Raw genomic sequence first — 20209 nt, forward strand, 5'->3', positions numbered from 1 at the left:
CTTTTTTTTTGTTTGAGATGGAGTCTTGCTCTGTTGAGTACGGTGGTACAATCTCGGCTCACTGCAACCTCCGACTCCCGGGTTCAAGTGATTCTCCTGCCTCAGCCTCCTGAGTAGCTGGGACTACAGGCATGTGCCACGGCGCCCAGATAATTTTTTGTATTTTTAGTAGAGATGGAGTTTCACCCTGTTAGCCAGGATGGTCTCAATCTCCTGACCTCATGATCTGCCTCGTTGGCCTCCCAAAGTGCTGGGATTACAGGTGTGAGCCACCGCGCCCGGCCAATAGTAGTTTTATTGAGATGTCATTCTCATACAATACAGCTCACCCACTTAAAATGTACAATTCAGTGATTTCTAGGGTATTCATAGAGTTGTACAATTATTACCACAGTCAATTTTAGAGGATTTTTAATCAGTTGAGAAAGAGATCCCATGCCCATTAGCACACTCCCCATTCCCCCGATGAGCACCCCTCAGCCCTAGACAAGCACCAATCCACTTCCTATCTCTATGGATTTGCCTATTCTGGACCTTTCATATAAATTGAGTCATACAATATGAGAACTTTTGTGGCTTGCTTTTTATACGTGACATAATGTTTGCAAGGTTCATCTATGTTGTAGCATGAATCAGTACTTAGTTCCTTTTTATGGCCAAATAATATTCCATTGTATGGAGACACTTCTATTTATACTCTTTAAATAGAAAGAATATAAATTTGCCCCTATGTTATAAGGTTACTTCTTTTTTTACAATTATGTTTTAAGAGTCATTTCTGTATTCTAGATAAAAGTCCTTCACCAGATCTACACTTTTCAAAGGATATCTCCCATTTTGTGGGTTGTCTTTTCACTCTTGATAGTGTCCTTTGATGCACAGAAGTTTTAAATTTGAGTCCAGTTTATCTATTTTTTTCTTTTGTCACTTGCGCTTTTAGTGTTGTGTATAAGAAATCTTTGCCTAATCCAGGGTCACAAAGATTTACTCCTATGATTTCATTTCTCTATGATTTCTCATATGTAAGCGAGAACATGTGATATTTGACTTTCTATATCTGAGTTGCTTCAGTTAAGATAATGGCCTTCACAAATACTTACTCCTATGATTTCTTATATGAATTTTACAGTTTTCTATAGTTTTAGCTCTTACATTTAGGTCTTTAGTTCATTTTGAGTTAAATTTTATTGAGGAAGATTTTTTTTTAAACTTCAACTTAGTTTAGATTTCAGGGGTACGTGTGCAGGTTTTTGTCATGGGTATATTGTGTGACACTGAGGTTTGGGGTATGATTGATGCCAGCACCTAGGTAGTGAGAATAATACCCAACTGGTAGTTGTTCAGCCCTTGTTCCTCTTCCTCCCTGCCACTTCCGGTAGTTCCCACTGTCTATTGTTTCTGTCTCTATGTCCATGTTTCCTCACTGCTTAGCTCTCACATCTAAGTGAGAACATGTGGTATTTGTTTTTTTTTTCCTGTGTTGATTCACTTAGGATGATGGCCTCCAGCTGCATCCATATGGCTGCAAAGGAGATGATTTCATTTTTTTTATGGCTGTATAGTATCCCATGGTGTATATAAACCACATTTTCTTTATCCATTCCATTGTTGTGGGCACCTAAGTTGGTTCCTTGTCTTTGCTATTGTGAATAATGTCTTTCTGATAGAATGGTTTCTTTTCCTTTGGGTCTATAACCAGTAGTAGGATTGCTGGGTCAAATGGTAGTTCTGTTTAAAGTTCTTTGAGAAATCTCCAACCTGCTTCATAGTGGCTGAACTAATTTACATTCCCACCAGCAGTATATAAGTGTTTCCTTTTTTTCTGCAGCCTTGCCAACATCTGTTATGTTTTGACTTGTTAATAATAGCCATTCTGACTGGTGTGAGATGGTATTTCATTGTGGTTCTGATTTGCACTTCTCTGATCATTAGTGATGTTAAGCATTTGTTCATGTTTGTTGGCCGCTTGTATGTCCTCTTTTGAGAAATGTCTGTTCATATCCTTTTCCTACTTCTAAGTATTTTTTAAACTCTGAATTTTTATATTTTTGTGTGAGTTTATGAAGATTCAGCACAAGATTTCATTAATTATTATCTTCTATGAACTTCTAAAATTATAATTTGATTTGTTAAAATTTTTTCTCAAATCTTAGAATATATATGACACATATGTGTGTGTATATATATATATGTATATATGGAGAGCCTCATATTATACAGAATATGGAGTGTGATTCTATGTCATTTGCCAAGATCTGGAGACTAAATATTACGTTTTCTTCTGTCAACTGTGATCAGCTGGTAACAGCTGTTTGTGTTAAGAAGGAACCTATGGCTACATCCGAGCTCATTGGAAAAGTAATGTTATCAATTTGGTGTGATTTGCCATGGACTTGGTAAGGAAGAAGGGTAGCACCAAGCCTCATAACTGCTAATTCTGGTCTGGTGAGTTGTCAAGATCCCTGGGCAGTTGGTTTGGATAGTATAGATATAAATAAGAGCTATGATATCTTTGGGTACCAAAAGTCTTGTGTCTGAACTTACAATTTACATATTGTTATCTAATAATTCTATCTTATAAATTAAAATGAAAATAATTCAGGCTGGGTGCAGTGGCTCACTCCTGTAATCCCAGCACTTTGGGAGGCTGAGGCGGGTGGATCACCTGAGGTCAGGAGTTCGAGACCAGCCTGGCCAACATGGTGAAACCCTGTATCTACTAAAAATACAAAAATTAGCCGGGCATGGTGATGCATGCCTGTAGTCCCAGCTACTTAGAAGGCTGAGGCATGAGAATTGCTTGAACCCGGGAAGCGGAGGTTGCAGTGAGCCGAGATTGTGCCACTGTGCTCCACCCTGAGCGACAGAGCAAGATTCTGTCTCAATAATAATAATAATAATATAAAAAATAAAATGAAAATAATTTTTATGATAGAAATATAATCTCTTTCATGGTTTAATACTCTTGAGAAATAGAAAACATTAATAAATATAATGCAATTTCTGCTATAAGGTATTTAACAAATGGAAAAATTCACTGATGAAAAAAGTTAATGTTCATCGATAGAGGTACCATGCCAAGTGCTTTATGCTACTCATCTCACTAAATCTCATAACGGCCCTTTGTGGAGGCTCTGTCATAACCTCAGTCTGAAGAAGAGTACACTGAAGCAGAGTTTAGGTATCTTATTCAGGGTTGTGCCAGCTTGGAAGCTATGCTGATGGAATATGAACTCACATAGTCTTTATTCCAGAATCCATACTGTTTTTTTAAATATGTAAGTTTAAGGGGTACAAGTGTGGTTTTGTTACGTGGATATATTGCATGGTGATGAAGTCTGGGCTTTCAGTGTAACCATCATTTGAATAGTGTATATTGTAACCATTAAGTAATTTCTCATCCCTCACTCCCTCCCACCTGCCCACCCTTCTCCAGTGGTCTCCAAAGGTCTCCAGTGACTATTATTCCTCTCTGTTTCCATATGTACATATTATTTAGCTCCCATTTATAAGTGAAAATATGTGATATTGGACTTTCTGTGTCTGAGTTGTTTCACTTAAGATAATGGCCTTCAGTTCCATCCATGCTACTGCTAAAGACACGATTTCATGTTAAACACGTGAACTCACCTGCTTCCATCAACTTACATGATTTTCAGACCCTTCGGTCAACTTGGTGTCATAGAGTATGTATTAAAACTCAGCTTGATCTTAGATTATTTATATGAAGATCAAACAATTTTAAATATTATGGATTTGAGTGAGAAATTTAAATTATTCCACCGTGATTACAGATTAATTGTACAATCTTCATTAATCACATATCTCGGCTCACTGCAACCTCTGCCTCCTGAGTTAAGTGATTCTCCTGTCTCAGCCCCCCGAGTAGAGTAACTGGGACTACAGGTGCACACTACCACAACAGGATAATTTTTGTATTTTTAGTGGAGATGGGGTTTTGCAACATTGGCTAGGCTGGTTTTGAACTCCTGGCCTCATGTGATCCACCTGCCTTGACCTCCCAAAGTGCTGGGATTACAGGCATGAGCCACCGCACCTGACCCTATTAGTAAATATTTTAACAGGCAGTCATAAGATAGCAGAATGTATGGAAATTAAATGATAGTTCAGCAAATTCAATTAAGTAAGCATTTCAAGACTTCTTGCTATCCTCTAGAAACTTTGCTATACTAGGGATTAAAAGATGAATATAATAATTCCTTTTCTCCCCCTAAATTTTAGTTTAGCATAAGATTATATGATACTGTGTAAGTTCTATTCTTAGTTCTTTTAAAACGAGACTTGGATAGCTAGTACTAATTCATTCAGTGAATATTTGTGGAGCACTGCTATATTTGAAGCATGGTTTTCATTGTTGGAAATACTTGGTGGACAAAATGGACGCATATTACTGTTCTTGTGGAACTTATATTCTTGTGGAGGGGGAGACAAACAGTAAACAAATATAGTATGTCAGATAGTAATAAGTGCAAGGAGAAAAACCAAATAAAGCAGGGAGGAGGATAGGAAGTGCTTGCGGGCAGGGTAGGTAGGTGAAGGGACAGCTGTGGTTTTTTGTTTTTTTTTTTGTTTGTTTGTTTTTTGAGATGGAGTCTCACTCTGTCCCCCAAGCTGGAGTGCAGTGGCGCGAGCTCGGCTCACTGCAAGCTCCACCTCCCGGGTTCACGCCATTCTCCTGCCTCAGCCTCCCGAGTAGCTGGGACTACAGGCACCCGCCACCACGCCCGGCTAATTTTTTGTATTTTTAGTAGAGACGGGGTTTCACCATGTTAGCGGGGATGGTCTCAATCTCCTGACCTTGTGATCTGCCTGCCTCGGCCTCCCAAGCTGCGGTTTTTGGAGAGTAGTTAGGGAGGCCTCACTGAGAAGATGTTGTGCAAAGACTCAAGAGAGGCGAGGAAGTGAGCCATGTGGATATCTGGGGAAAGTGGGTTTTAATTAGAGGGAACAGCAACCGTGAGGTGGTAGCATGCAGGGTAGGTTCAAGGAATAGAAAGGATGTCAGCGTTGGTGGTAGTGATGGGCAGAACAAGGCAGAAATAAGGCTGCAAAGGTAATCAGCATGGGCATGTGAGGGTGGAGGAATACATATTGTGTAGAGGTTTCCAGACCATTGTAAAGCTTAAACTTTTTCTCTTAGTGACATGTAAAGCAATTGGAGGCTTTTGAGCTTAGGTATTGTGTGATGTGACTAAAGTTTTTAAATAACCCACTCTGGCTTTTATTTTGAAAATAGACTATGATGACAAGAGCAGAGACTGGCTATTTTAACTATCCAGATGAAAAATCAACAAAGTAGCATTGGAGGTAGTAAGTCGTTGCATTGGGGTTAATCTAAGATGACTTGCTAATGTATGGGTTATGGATTATGATAGAAAGAAAGGTGTCAGACATAACTTCAAGGTCTTTGTGCAGAGAAATGGGAAGGATGGAGTTGGCATTGACTGAGATAGGATGACTGGGGAAGAACAGGTTGGGGTTGCAGATCAGGAGGTCAGTTTTAGACATGGTGGCAGAGACATTGCTGTGTTTTCACCAACCCTCTTTCATACCCCTCTTTTCTGGTGCATCTCAGTTTCCTTACAGTTCAGCAGGGCCATATAACTAGTGCTGGCCTGTGAAATGTAAGGAGAAGTGATAATGTTGATCATTTTGAGAATGAGGCAGTGAGAAGCCCCAGAATGATTCTTTGGTCTCTGTGTTCTCCTAGGGTGATGAAGGAGGAGGAGGCCTCAGGGAAACAATGGGGATCCCCAGTTATGAAGAACGCTGGATTGCTAGTGCACTGCATGGGGGGCACATTCTGAGGGGAGTGTTAACCAACTAAGCTAATTAAACGCATGTGAAATTTTACTTTCTCTTAGGCATATGCATCAGATGTAACCATTGGGAACTCAGGGAAATGAGTTGAACTTGAAATATAAATTTGGGAGGCTTCAAGATATCAATGGTATTTCAAAACATTATATTTGTTGAAATCTCCAAAAGAATAAGTCTAGCTAGGGACAAATTAAAAGGACTAAGCCCTGGGCACCCCAGGTTAGAGAGCAAGGAGATGCTAGTTTACATAGATAGCTGCTTGATCCTAATACCCATAAGCAATGAGTTATGTCATAGACTGTATGTGGCCACATTCAGTGAATTTTCCTCCGAGGTGCTTCTTTCCAAATTTCCAAAAACACATATCCAGGTCACTGATTACTGGATTCACCTCTATCATAGCAGAAAGAGCACCATACAGCTATGAATAGGTATTGAGACAGTATTCACTTATTTGAGATTTCCATCAAAGTAACCAAAATCATGAAATATTTAGAAGAAAATTCAGTCAACAAATAGTTTTCATTTTTTCATTGCTTTGTTTGTAGATGTGATGTTTCTAGGCACTTCAGGTTAGGAAAGAATTAATCTAATTAGAGTTTTTTAACCTCAGCATTGTTGACATTTTGGGCCACAAAATTCTTTGTAGTGTTGGGGAGGGGTGCTGTCCTGTACATTGTGTTATTTAGCAGCATCTCTGGTATCTACCCACTAGATGTCAGTAGCACCCCCCTTCCTTTGTTGTGACAATAAAAAATGTCTTGAGACATTGCCAAATGTCTTCTCTGTGTGTGTCGGGGGGACCACAGATCTACATTACATCTGTTTCCAATGAGTGTTTTATTTATATACTTACTGCCTGCAAAACATTTGAGAAAGTTTACCTGAACATTTAATATAATATATACTATGCTATGATATATTATTGAGGGAACTGCAATGAAAAGCCAAAGACATAATATAGAATTTAAGCAAGAAAGCAAAATAATATTGCAAAGGTAACAGTACTATGCTATCAGCATGGAAAATGTGTTCAATAAAAGACAAGAAAGGAATTATAGATAGACTAGGTTACACCTTCAATGGGTCTTGAAAGGCAGAATGAATTTGTATGGACAGAAGAGAACCTATCCTGGCCTGGGGAATATCAGGCATAAAAGCTCAGAGGTACCAAATATAAGGTGTTAAGGCCTGCCTAGGACTGTGGCTAGGTTAGAATTACTGAATCAGAAGCTCTGTGGGCATGAGGTTGTGAGGCAGTGGGAAATCTGGCTGAGAAGCACTGAGACTAGACTGAAAAGGACTTTGAAGCCAAGCTGAGATGTTTTCGTGTTCTTGGGTGGCCACCATGATGCTCATTACTGCACAAAAGACAGAGATGTATAAGATAACAGTCCTGTATTTCTGGACTTTCTAACCTGGACATAATGGAAAATTACATATAATTTTTCGGCAAGAGATTAATATATTTAAAATGATGTTTTAGGAAAATTAACCAGATGGTAGGGAGATTACTGAAGGTGGGAAATTGAGAGTACGAGAGATGGCTTAGGGGATCTTGAAGGAGTTTGCACATGAACTCCGAAAGGCTTAAACCAAGTGGCCGGGCACGGTGGCTCATGCCTGTAATCCCAGCACTTTGGGAGGCCGAGGTGGGCGGATCACCTGAGGTCAGGTGACCAGCCTGGCCAACATGGTGAAACCCCATCTCTACTAAAAATACGAAAATTAGCCGGGTGTGGGGGCACACACCTGTAATCCCAGCTACTCGGGAGGCTGAAGTAGAAGAATCGCTGGAACCCAGGAGTCGGAGGTGGCAGTGAGCCAAGATCATGCCACTGCACTGCACTCCAGCCTGGGCGACAGAGTGAGACTCCATTTCAATAAAAAAAAGGCTTAAGTCAGGGATTGGCAATTTTTTTGAAATGTGAAAACAGCTGTAGACATTAAGTAAATGAATGGGCATGGTTGTGTTCCAGTAAAATTTTATTTACAAAAGCATGTGGCAGGTGGTGGGCCATACTTTGACAACCCCTGGCCTAAACTTATGACATGATGGTGGAAAGAAAGACATCGAGTAAAGAATCAATAAAAGGAACTTGAAAATAAAGCTTTGCTGAACTTGGTAACTAAACCAAATAGAGTTAGTAGGAGGAAGGGCAAGGGGTGGACTTGGAGGAGGAAAAAGATTATCCTGGAGTTTCAAGCCTAGAAGATGTCATTAATAGAGTTTAGGAGCAGGTATCAATGACTTAAGGAAAGAGAAAGATGTGTTTGAATTGAGGACTTTTGAGAACATGTTAAACTAGCAATTGGTGAAGGCCTGCTGGGCCATGGGGGAGAAGTCTGGAACTTCTCCATGCTCATGTGTGGAACAGAACAGTATTTTCCTTGAGGTGATGCTTTTAAGGGGAGATGGTATCTGAGGAAGGGCAGAAGGATGAAGATAAACATAGGAGACCAGCATGTTTATGAAGTGCAAGGAGGAAGATGAACTGTAAGAAACTGAGAAAAGATAGGGAAATGAGAACCAGTAGGATAATAGTGTCTTCAGAGCCATGGCCAAGCTAACTCTCAGGAGGAATTGGTCATTACTGTCTGACGTTCCAAGAGGTCAAGCAGAATGGCACTGAGAAAGAGATTGTTTCATTTCTTGACCAGAAGGTTACTGGTGGCCCTTCAAAAGGAAGTCCCAAGAGAGTTGTGGTAAGAAAAGGCATCCCAGAGATTCAATTTAGAGAAGATAATGAGGAATTAAGAGAAAGTTTGTAAGTTTAAAGAAGAGACACAGAACAGCAATTGAATGGAGCACCTTCTTCCAAGAGGAGGCTTGCTTGTGTTTGATGACAGATTTTGAGAAGGATTCAGTGGAGAATAGACTTCAAGTTGTTGCAGAAGGGATGATGAGGTTAATGGAGAACAGAAAGAAGGTGAACTAGCTGGAGAGGAGTGATACACTCTGACTCTGGAAATTTAAGAGAACGTGGATATCCTGGAATTTTCCAAAGTGCTCTTCCTTAATGCATTCTTTTTACAGGAGGCAAATACCTTTGTCCAGGCAAGATCAGGAAGTAGATGGAAGCAGGGTTAGAATTAAGGGCTTAAGTAGTATAAAGAAGATTTGCAGTAGCCATTGTTATAAAAAAATAGTAGGTGATCTCCTAGAACTCAATACTTGGATTATTGAGACATACTCAGTTTTCTTTTAGCAAAATATCTCTCATTGACTAGGACTTAAGGCTATACTGCTAGCATTGAAAATTTATTTTATTTTGTATTGAAACAATTAAGAAGATAAAGGGGAAAAATAAACACTTCTAAGATTAATGAATATGCCTCTCGTTATCTTTGGAAGAAACTATGTGGCCTGTTTTCCTTGGATATTAGCATCTCCAACAAATAGAAGAGCCTATGTTCATAAATATGATTGGGTCAAATTTGACAATAGAGTCAGACTAAAGTTAGCTGACATTGACTTTAAAAGTACTTGCCTCAAAGTACTTGAAATTCGGTGGCTTCATATTTTCTTGGATTAGGGATTGATTTCTCTGCTCAGACTTCTTCAGAATACAAATAACTTTGTAAGGGCTAATCTGTTAAAAAGTTTGTGTTAGCTCTCTTGGCAAGAGCTAGGATAGCAGGGTAGAAGGAGAACTGCGAAAACAAACAAACAAAGGAGAGTTAAAAATGAAAGGGCAAACACTCCCTACTTACTTTGCTTTGCTTTCATTATTTTGCCTAAACTGTTGTGGTTGACACACGTGGACAGTAGATTATAACTAGATTCTGAGCCCCAGATGCCCACAGCTAACACTTATGTAATGCTCATTGTGTGCCATGGGCTAAGTGCTATAAATGAATGTATATATAATATAAATGCATTAACTCATTTAATTCTCATGACGATTTGATGAGGTGAGCTCTATCTCCCAGTTTCTAGATGAGGGATTGCCCAACTTGTGGGTAGGGGAGCAGAATCTTACCCCGGGAAGTGTGGCTTGAGAGTTGGCAATTGTAACTGCTGGACAGATTTGTTAGAAAAATACCTTATTTATTTTTCAGTCCTCCACCCTGACTTGTGCCTTCATCAAAAAAGTTTGAAATGTTTTCAGTTCATACATAAGAAGAAAAAAATTTGATATGGGTTTATTTTCCCCTATTAACATTTTCTTTGATTTACAGTCTGTTGTATCAGACATGATGTGAAAGGGGTAGACAACAACCTAGACTATATTTATTTTTCAATCTGCTAATGTGAAGAAAAAAGGGGAGGAGTTAGGTGAGATTTGGAGTCTGTAATGGTTTTTCTACACCAGGGTTTTTAGGGAGATTCTAAATAGAGCACACTCTCATTTGTTTCAATTAAATGCCTTGCCCACTTAATCTCCTTTTCGTATTGCCATGCTTGATACAGAGGGCTCCAGGACTAGTTTACTAGGTGGTAGGACCTTTAGAGATTATGCTGTCCAAATCCTTTACGTTAGTTTAACAGATGCAAAAATGGAGACTGAAAGGGTTTAAGCAGAGTGAGAACATTAACAACAACACTTTGTTTTGAAATGAGGTTTTTTGATTCGTTCCAACCTTCACACAAATTTGAAAGCATACTTTTGTGTAAGTTTCTTAATATTTGGAAATTAACATCAGCCCCAGCCTCCCTGAAAACTGTGGTGAGTTATTACTATATATAAAGATTAATGAAATAATTGCTTTTGAGTTTCTACTACAATTGGTGGATCAGGGTCATCTAAAAAAACTCAAGCAAAGGTGTGAAAACTTTATTTTGCATGTTTGTTTTTCTCCTAGTTATTATTTACTGCTCAATCAGCATTAACAGAAGAAAAATAATTTGGCTGCTAAGTTACTGTAGTATAGGATTTCAAAGGACCTTATTAGAGAGAGATGTAATTTCATCCCCTGGGCCTTTTATGTAACAGAGTGCATATTTGGGTTACTTCATTTTGACCCGGAATTAAACAATAGACTTAAGTTGTATTCAGGAAGTTAAAATATTTATTCAACAAAGATTTAAAAGCATTTTACAGTTATTTCCAAATTCCTAGGGATATCTTTATAGCTTTATTTTCTTATTTTAGCTAACTCTTGTCTGAATAGCTCCTTCATCAAAGAATTTTCTGTTTATTTCATAAATCTTATAAGATGTATGTATTTGATAACTACTGCATATAATCAGTGTTTTTTAAATAAACATCTTTGGCAAATTGATATAAACATGATTTTATATATTGCTTAACTACATATATAGGCCATAGTTTCGTTATGGTGCTCAGTAATGAAAAATATGGAGTAGATGTTACAAGTGGTAATAAAGCTAATATTAAAGAAAGTAAGGCTGAAGATTCCTAAGTTCAAAATAAAAAGGCTTTGCAGCTTCAGTTTTAGGAGCGTTTTCATAAAATGAAAGAGGCAAATAGTGCCAAGGTGCTACCAACTCCAGCTTCCTAGCAATGCAAGGATTCTTCCTTTAGCCACTTATAAAAGTGGTCACCTCAGCTCACTCTCTGTAGGACTGACTGCTTCCCCTTTCTTCTGTGATTTGCATAGTATTATCCACATTGATTCATGTTTGGGGTGATTGTTTCCATCCTCACTGTGAGATTATGAACTTCTTATTTTCTTTCCATGAAATAAAGTTTTCATTGGCTGGGATCCCAGCTAGACTGATTTTTTTTTCCTTTTTTCGTTTGTTTGCTTAATATTTTAGATTTTGAAAGTCCTTCAAAATTAAAGTACTTGCATACTATCCTAGGGCAATAATTTGTGACTGAAAATCTTTGTGAAAAATCCTAAGAGGTATTTAAAAGTTTATGTTAAGTAAGTTGTTATCAGTGGTTAAGAGGCCTTTCCAGAGTGCTTGTCCACTGGACATTTATATGGAACTTACTGTAATAGCATCTGCTTAATTTTTGGATGATGCAGACACATTCCGTTGCACAAAATTACTCTGCAAAAGTAAGTCAGGAATCACTCATGATAATTTCAGGTTATGCATACTTATTTTAGAATGTTGAATCAATTTGCTAATCTTCAAAGGAGTAAATTTTACACCAATTGCGTCTGGTTTAATAGGCTTAATATTTTCATAATGCCAGAGTAATTTTTCTTCTTAGTTTTATTCTTGCATAATTGTTGGAATTATATGTACATTGTTTTAATTCTTGAGCCCTTAATATCAAATAGCTTGAGCATTAAGGGAATTAATTGAAGGCCTTAGGATATGGGTGTTTATTACATGAACATGGATTGAATGTTGATGTTGGGATTTTAAACGGGAAGTTGCTTTGCTGTTAGATTCCATCACATTGAATGTATCAACATTTATACAAGGAAATTGGGAAGAAATGTACTCTCAGTCCCTGGTTGCTCTTTGTTTGTGAAAAGTAACAAATTTAGGAGTTGATCTAAAAGGAAAATTTTTGTGTTAATGTTTTTAAAACATTAAAGCATCTTTAAACAATATTTTTGTCTCAGATGTCTAGATGCATATTTATACCCCCAGAAATTTGAATAAGTCTGTTTAAATATTTTTGTCCTTTTCCTGAATGTCAACCCTTTGGCAGAGTGTTTATATGTTAAAGCTTGAAGAGCAAGTAGAGATCACACAGTCCAACTCTGTCATTTCATAGATGTAATTAGAGTAAACTAAGGATCAGTCTGAGTATAATGAAGTATAAAAAAGAACTTGACACTCACTGTCACACAACACAGTTGATAGAAATTTGTTGGTCATTCGTTGGCCACTGGTCATCTTCCCCCCAGGGGTCTCTGGCTTGCAATGTATTCCCGTGGTCTCTTTCTCTGATCCCCTCTTGGATCTCCTCCTCTTCCTTAGGTGTTTTGAATTTCTCTTCTTTGTCTTCAGCATCCTCAATTCCTCCTACTTCATTTTGCAGAAATTTAGCTGTCTTTGTTATGCCCTCACCATCCAATGTATGCCCAGATAACTGTGCCTTTTTCATCCAAAGATCCACTAAAAGATGACAGTGTTTTTATTTTTTATGAGACACATCACCTGCAGAATGATTTTTTTTTCTATTACAGTTGACACATAGAGATGCATTTTAATTCACATGTAGACAAACATTTGATGAATTCCTTTTTTTATATATATACTTGGGAAATAGGTAAATTTTCTGCTATCAATAATCTCTCAGAAACACTTGATGACTGAATACTATAGTTAAAAATCATGAATGAGAATAAGAAAGGCAACATAGTATTTTAGGAGGGACATTATCCCACTCATTGAATTACCATATAACCTGTCATAGCACCTTAACTGCTCTGAACCTCTTTCCTCGTCTATAACCTTCATCCTGGCCTGCACTGGAGTCAGAGTTAAACTGTGCCTTGTAAAACATAAAGTTCTTTATAAATATAACAGTTAGAGCCTGGGCGCATGCCTGTAATCCCAGCATTTTGGGAGGCTGAGGCCAGGGGATTTCTTGAGCCCAGGGGTTCGACACCAGCCTGGGCAACATGGTGAAACCCCATCTCTACAAAAACATACAAAAATTAGACAGGCATGGTGGCATGCACCTGTAGTACCAGCTACTTGGGAGGCTGAGGTTGGAGGATCACCTGAGCCCTGGAAGTGGAGGCTTTGGAAGTGGAGGCTGTGGTGAGTTGTGATCAAGCCACTGCACTCCATCCTCGGAGACAGGAATGTTTTATATATATAAATATAGATATTATTTTACATATATATATTACATATATATATAAAATTCCTGTGCTCCCTAGGGTGATTTTATATATATATATATATATATATATATATATATATATATAATTCTATTCTATATATAACATTCTACTGTAGATATATATTTTAAAAAACTGTTAGATATTATGATATTATGAGTTGCGACAGTGATGATGATCATCATCTCAACTAGGCAGGTCTCTTTTTCCCTGGCAAACTATTCACAGGTAGGCTACTCACAGGCTTATCCTCCTAAGTAGTGTGTTTATATGTACTCGAAATAACTACATAGGACACAATGTATATGCTTTAGTCCACTGAGGAAATATAAAGAAAAAGGATATTCTTGGTCTCTTGCTCTTTCTGTTTTTTTTTTGTTTTGTTTTTGTTTTTTTTGTTTTTTTTTTTAAGAGACAGTCTTACTTCATTGCCCAGGCTGGAGTGCAATGGCTGTTCACAGACGCAGTTATAACTCCTGGGTTCAGGTGGTCGTCCCGCCTCAGCCTCCTTAGTAGCTGGTGTGTGTCACCACTCTGCTCAGTCTCTTGCCCTTTGTGTTGTCATTCAACATCGAAATACATTTCTTCTTCTTTTTTTAATTTTATTTTGAAATGGAGTCTTGCTCTGTCACCCAAGCTGGAGTGCAGTGGTGCGATCTCGATTCACTGCAACCTCCTCGTCCTGAGCTCAAGTGATTCTCCTGCCTCAGCCTCCAGAGTACCTGGGACTACAGGCATGAACCACCATGCGTGGCTAATTTTTGTTATTTTATTTTATTTTTTTAGTAGAGATGGGGTTTCACCACGTTGGCCAGACTTGTCTCAAGCTCCTAACCTCAAGTAATCCACCTGCCTCGGCCTCCCAAAGTGCTGGGATTACAGGTGCAAGCCACCACAGCCGGCCAATTTCTTCTTATTGAAACGTAGATGTCAACGTTGCATTTGTTAGATATTTCTTAACTTTCTCTCTTATTTGAGTATCTAACATATTGTATTTCTTTTGCTCTAGTGTAATATAGCTAAATTGCTAGACTCTGAATTAATATCAATAAACATTTATATCACACAAGATAGTGTTATACTAAATATATTTAAATGTTTTAAATGGTTTCAAAGTTAATATTTTGAGTAATATGCTATGGATGGAAAGCTTATTCATGACCAGTATAAGTTATACAAAATTAATGTTTCAAAGGATGTCTGAATTTCAAAAGGACTCTTCAAATGATCAGCTCCATAATTATATTTTTCATCTAATTTTATGTTCAAGTGCTCCCCTAGAGTGGTGATAAGTGAAATCATCGATTAATGCTAGGACTCTAAGCTGACCTAGAAAAACTACATTTGAAGCTGTATTCAAAGAATTTCATTTAGCCTTACTAGGACAACTGTCATTCTTATGTAACATTTTAAAGTTTTGCATTGAGATTGGGCTTGAAATAAATGCCTGCATTTGCTCAGAGACTGTTAAGGAGGGAGATAGAGTAGGAAGTTGTCTCCAGAAATAAAATGATAATGAAACCTATTGTTTATCGAGTACCTACTAATTATAAACCACAGTGATTATATATGACATAATTTTTCATAGATACTAAATATATGTATGTATATTTGCAATTTTTATCCTTGCAAAAATGACAAGTATAATTGGGGTATTTACATTCTCTTTTTAAAGACAGGACAATAAAATCTAGTAAGGTTAGGATTTTGCCCAAACTCATATAGAAATTAGCAAACATGAGATCCAAATCCAGGTCTGTCAGACCGCAGGGTCTTTGTTTACTCTGCTATATCATATTTATTATTCATTGATGGATGTATTAAACAAAGATTAATTCAGCCCTTCCCATTGCCAGGAACTGTTATAGATGCTGAAAATACTGCAGTGAAAAAAGACACCAAGTTCTTGCTTTCAAATAATTTATATTCTAGTGAAGGAAATAGAATATACAAATATGTCTAGTGGCATTAAGTGCTACAGAGAAAAGAGCAAAGCAGTGTAACAGGATCGAAAGTGATGGTACAAGAGGTATTTGTACTGTATTGCTGTGGAGGTCGGTGATCAGGGAAGGCTCCTTCTGTAAAACTGACATTTGAGCACAGGCCTGAAGGAAGTAAAAGAGTGAGCTTATGGGAATACATGAGGAAACAGCCTACAAGCAAAAGGAGGAGCTCATGCAGTGCTCCTCAAGTGGGGACTTGGTGGCATGATCATGGAACAGAAATGAGGCTAGTGTATCTGAAGCAGAGTGAGTGTTGGGGAGAGAGTAGAGCACAAGGTCCAAGAGGTGGTGTGGTGTCAAAACCTGTAGACCTTGGTCAGGACGTTGGCTTTTACTCTGAGGGAGACGTCAAGTCACTGGAAGGCTTTGGGCAAATGTCTGACATAGTGTGCCTTGTGTTTTAGATGGAGAATAGACTGTAGGACAATGGGGAAGGATCCAGGAGACCAGTTGGGAGGCTGTTGCAGTAGTTCAGGCATGAGATGATGGTGGTGGCTTGAGTTGGGTTGTACTTGTGGAAGTAATGAGGAGTGGTAGAATTCTGGATCTATTTCAGAGGTAGAGCCAACCAGATAAGCTGATGGTGGATGTGGGGTCTGAGGAAAAGGAAGGGTCAGTAATGACTGTCAGTTTTTGACCCTAAGTATTATGATGAGAAGCTTTTCGGGAGGGAAGATGGGAAAAAAAAGAGTTCAGTTTTTGTATGATGTGGGGTAGGTTTTTTTTCTCCTCTATATGGCAAACGATTCCCAGCACATTTCTTAGCCTTTCTCCTTTTTCATTCATCATCTATTTTTTTATTTATCATCTATCAGGTGTCCATTTATGTCCATGAAAATAGGTTTACCAATCGTCTTGTTCAAAGCTTCCATCTTACTGATCTTTATCACTTGACCTGTAAAATATTTTGTTGTTGTCATTGAATCTATCAACTAGCAAGACAGGTGTGTTAAATTTCCCACTGTGATGGTGGATTTATCAGTTTATCTTACAATTCTATTGTTGTTATATACATAATTGAAATTATGATACTGGATGCATGCACTAATTCTTGCATTAATTCTTTCTGGTGAATTCATGCATTAATTCTTCCTGGTGAATTAAATTTTCCTCAATATGTAATGCTCTTTATCAAATACTCTTTGTTTTAAGGTCCTTTTTGTTTTTTATGAATGTGTCTACACACATGATTTCTTTAGATAGCATTTGTGTTTCTGTTTTTGAGCTCCTATTGTCTTGAACTTTATTTGTGGGAATCCCTGGGGTCTGAATTCAGATTCACTTTTGTCAGACACTTGGAAACCCTATCATCTGGGGTTAGTTTAAAGTTTGATTTAGGACTTGTTTGGCTTCACAGATAGCATGAATTTTGATCCCAAATTGAATATTGCGGGCTTGTGGTTAGGAATTGTCAGGAACAGTGTTTTCTTCTTTTCCTCCTCCCTCTGAGCCAAGGTCAAAACAGGCTTGTATCCCCATCATTGCCCTTTGCAAGATGGGGCTTTTCTGGTTTATCACTGAGGGTGCAGCCCTTCAGGGAATCCACTGTGATGTGACCATCCCACTTTTAATATCTGAAGTTGGACTCCTGGTTTTGCCTTACTAACACCCAAGTTTGAGTTCAGGGCAAACACAGCCTGTGCTTGCTAATCCTACAGAATTTTCACGTCTTTTCCTTTTTGTTCTCTGAGATATTCCTTACTTTCCTGCCATCCCCACCAGGCATTAAAAGATGCTTCATTTTTGTATAATATTTTTCATCTGTTGTACCAACAAAGGTTTCTCTGAACATCTGATTCACAGTAGTTCTTGCTGACATGCAACGTTGTAAACATAGGAGAGTTTGAAGCCAAACCTAGCACTGTGGTATCTGTTCACCAGCTATGTGGGGTGGATATTTTCAGGTTGCATGAAGATCCTGTTCTTCACAACCATTCACTCAGTGGTTTTAGCCTCCACTAATGATTGTTGCCTGAATTACTTATTACACCGAGGCTACAATATGGTGATTTTCAAATTCTATTATTTCTTTTACATTTATTAGTTGCCTTTTTTTCTGTAAAGAAAAGAGTTTTTCCCCAGCATCTCTTTACTTTTTTCTTGTCTTGTGTTCTCATGGATCATTTTTTAATTTGACGTGTTATACTTCTTTACTATGATAATTATTTTGATACTCAAATTGTCTTGAATTTTAGGGTGGAAGCCCCTGAAGCCAACTCCTGTGCCCTTTTGCTGTGCTTCACTAAAGTCTTTGAGTCTATCTTTGCTTTTTGGCAGAATAAGATGTCCCAGGCTGGCTTTATACTTTGTCTGCTCCAGATCTGGAAGCAGCCAATTTTTCTGACGAATCCGGCTTCTTTTGATGAGAAGCGACATTCAGAAACCAAAATTGGAGTTCTGGATGTACCTGTTCCTACAAGTGTCATTGTATTTGGGCCCTTTTAGTGGAAAGAACAAGAAAATCTGTGTGTGTGTGTATGTATATGTGTGTGTGTTTAAATCATAAGTCTGTATTGGTATTCTCAACTGAGAGTTTATTTTCTCTGAAAAAGTAGTGTCAGCAATTATAGCATAGAGGTAAACAATCCCAGTTTTTCGATGTACTTTTGGCTGTTTGACCTTGGACAATTTACTTAATTTCACTGTCTTTCTTAGTTTCCGCATCTCCAAAATCAGAATAATAAAAGTACCTCAAGCATAGTTGTGAGAAATAAGTGTGTGGATTTATATAAAGTGCTCACAGCAGTTCCTGGCTCAGAGGATATACTTTTAAATTATTTGCTAAAAATATGAGGTCGGACCGTGTGAAACTGCCACTATTTGACTGTCTTTAACCTACAGAAATAATTTCATGCGGTTCATCCTGATAAATGTGAACACCTTCATTGACCGAATGCCTTTTAGGGGCAGCACCCTTTGCTTTAAGGTCCATTTTGTTTGTATCCACAGCTCTGCTGTGGATAAAGATAAGTAAAAGAGTCTCTGCCTTGAAGAAGCTGAGAGATTAATAATAGAGCTATAAATAAAGTTTCCTAGCACTGTAGTGCTTTCTGCCTGTGGTGGGGGAATGAAGCAGGACTCTTCTTAGGTTACCACAAGCGACTTGGGGGAAGGAGACAAAATCTGGCAGTCTGCTGAACAGGGCGGAATTTTAGATTGAAGACCCTAGAATTAAGGTGGGAACTCCAATGGGATGTCCTCAGGGAGTCACTTAGGAAAATGATGAACCACGTGTGTGCAATAATGTGTGCAATTTGACACACAGTTTTAATGCAGACAAAAATCTTTAATAATCATGAAGCTATTTCCATAATATGAAGAAATTTAATATATGTTAAAATTCTATGTATTTCTTTGTTGTTTTCCTTTTTTAGAATTTTCTGTGTGTCTTTCTTATGTGCCGGAAACCCAACCTCAGAGCAGTATTTTCACCATTGAGATGGTGCCATTAAACACTTAAAATCGGCTGGGCCTGTGATCCCAGGACTTTGGGAGGCCGAGGTGGGTGGATCACGAGGTCAGGAGATCGAGACCATCCTAGCTAACACGGTGAAACCCCGTCTCTACTAAAAATACACAAAAATTAGCCAGGTGTAGTGGCGGGCGCCTGTGGTCCCAGCTACTCGGGAGGCTGAGGCAGGAGAATGGCGTGAACCCGGGAGGCGGAGCTTGTAGTGATCCGAGATCGCGCCACTGCACTCCAGCCTGGGCAACAGAGTGAGACTCTGTCTCAAAAAAATAAAATAAAATAAAATAAAATAAAATAAAATAAAATAAAATAAAATAAAAACACTTAAAATCAAGCTAATGTGATTATCCTTCACAATAGCACTGCGATTAGAAGTTTATATGATGATCATGTTAAGATGAACATGGGGATTGGGGTGCTAACTTTATATATATACACACACACTTATATACATATACATATGTATATATAAAGATCTCTATCTATCTATCTATCTATCTATCTATCTATATATATATATATCTTTTGACTACCCCACAACCCAACTACTAATAGCCTACTGTTGACCAGAAATCTTACTGATAACATAAACTGTTCGTTAACACATTTTTTGGTGTTACGTATATTATGTACTGTATGTAAGCTAAAGAAAAGAAAATATTAAGAAAATCATAAGGAAGAGCAAGTAGATTTACTGTTCATTCAGTGAAAATGTATTATTGTAAAGGTCTTCATCTTCATAATCTTCACGTTGAATAGGCTGAGGAGGAGGAGAAAGAGGAGGGGTTGGTCTTGCTGTCTCGGGGATGGCAGAGATGAAAGAAAATCCACAAGTGAGTGGACCCACACAATTTAAACTCATGTTGTTCAAGGGTCCACTGTAGTTTATTCCATGATTCTGTCATCATCTACTGTTAAATATTAATGTAATGAGAGTAACATAAAATTAACACAACTATGTGGCTGAAGATACCTGATCTTCCTTCAGAAGTTAGTTTCTTTTACTGGCCAGTATTTAGTCTCTGTATTAATCACAAATATTTGTACAAAATGTATTGTTGTTGTTATTATTATTATTATTATTAGAGATGGAGTCTTGCCCTGTCACCAGGCTGGAGTGCAGTGGCACAATCTCAGCTCACTGCAACCTCTGCCTCCTGGGTTCAAGCAA

General features: G+C 38.0%; 1 protein-coding gene across 30 annotated transcripts in view; it reads left to right on the forward strand.

The window, feature by feature from the left end:
• The window catches only part of EYA4 (EYA transcriptional coactivator and phosphatase 4), a 291536-nt gene that overhangs the window by 39818 nt on the left and 231509 nt on the right, over positions 1-20209 (forward strand). The window lies entirely within an intron of this gene.

Source organism: Homo sapiens, chromosome 6 (genome assembly GCF_000001405.40).
Source record: "Homo sapiens chromosome 6, GRCh38.p14 Primary Assembly".
In the NCBI taxonomy this organism is placed as follows: Eukaryota; Metazoa; Chordata; class Mammalia; order Primates; family Hominidae; genus Homo; species Homo sapiens.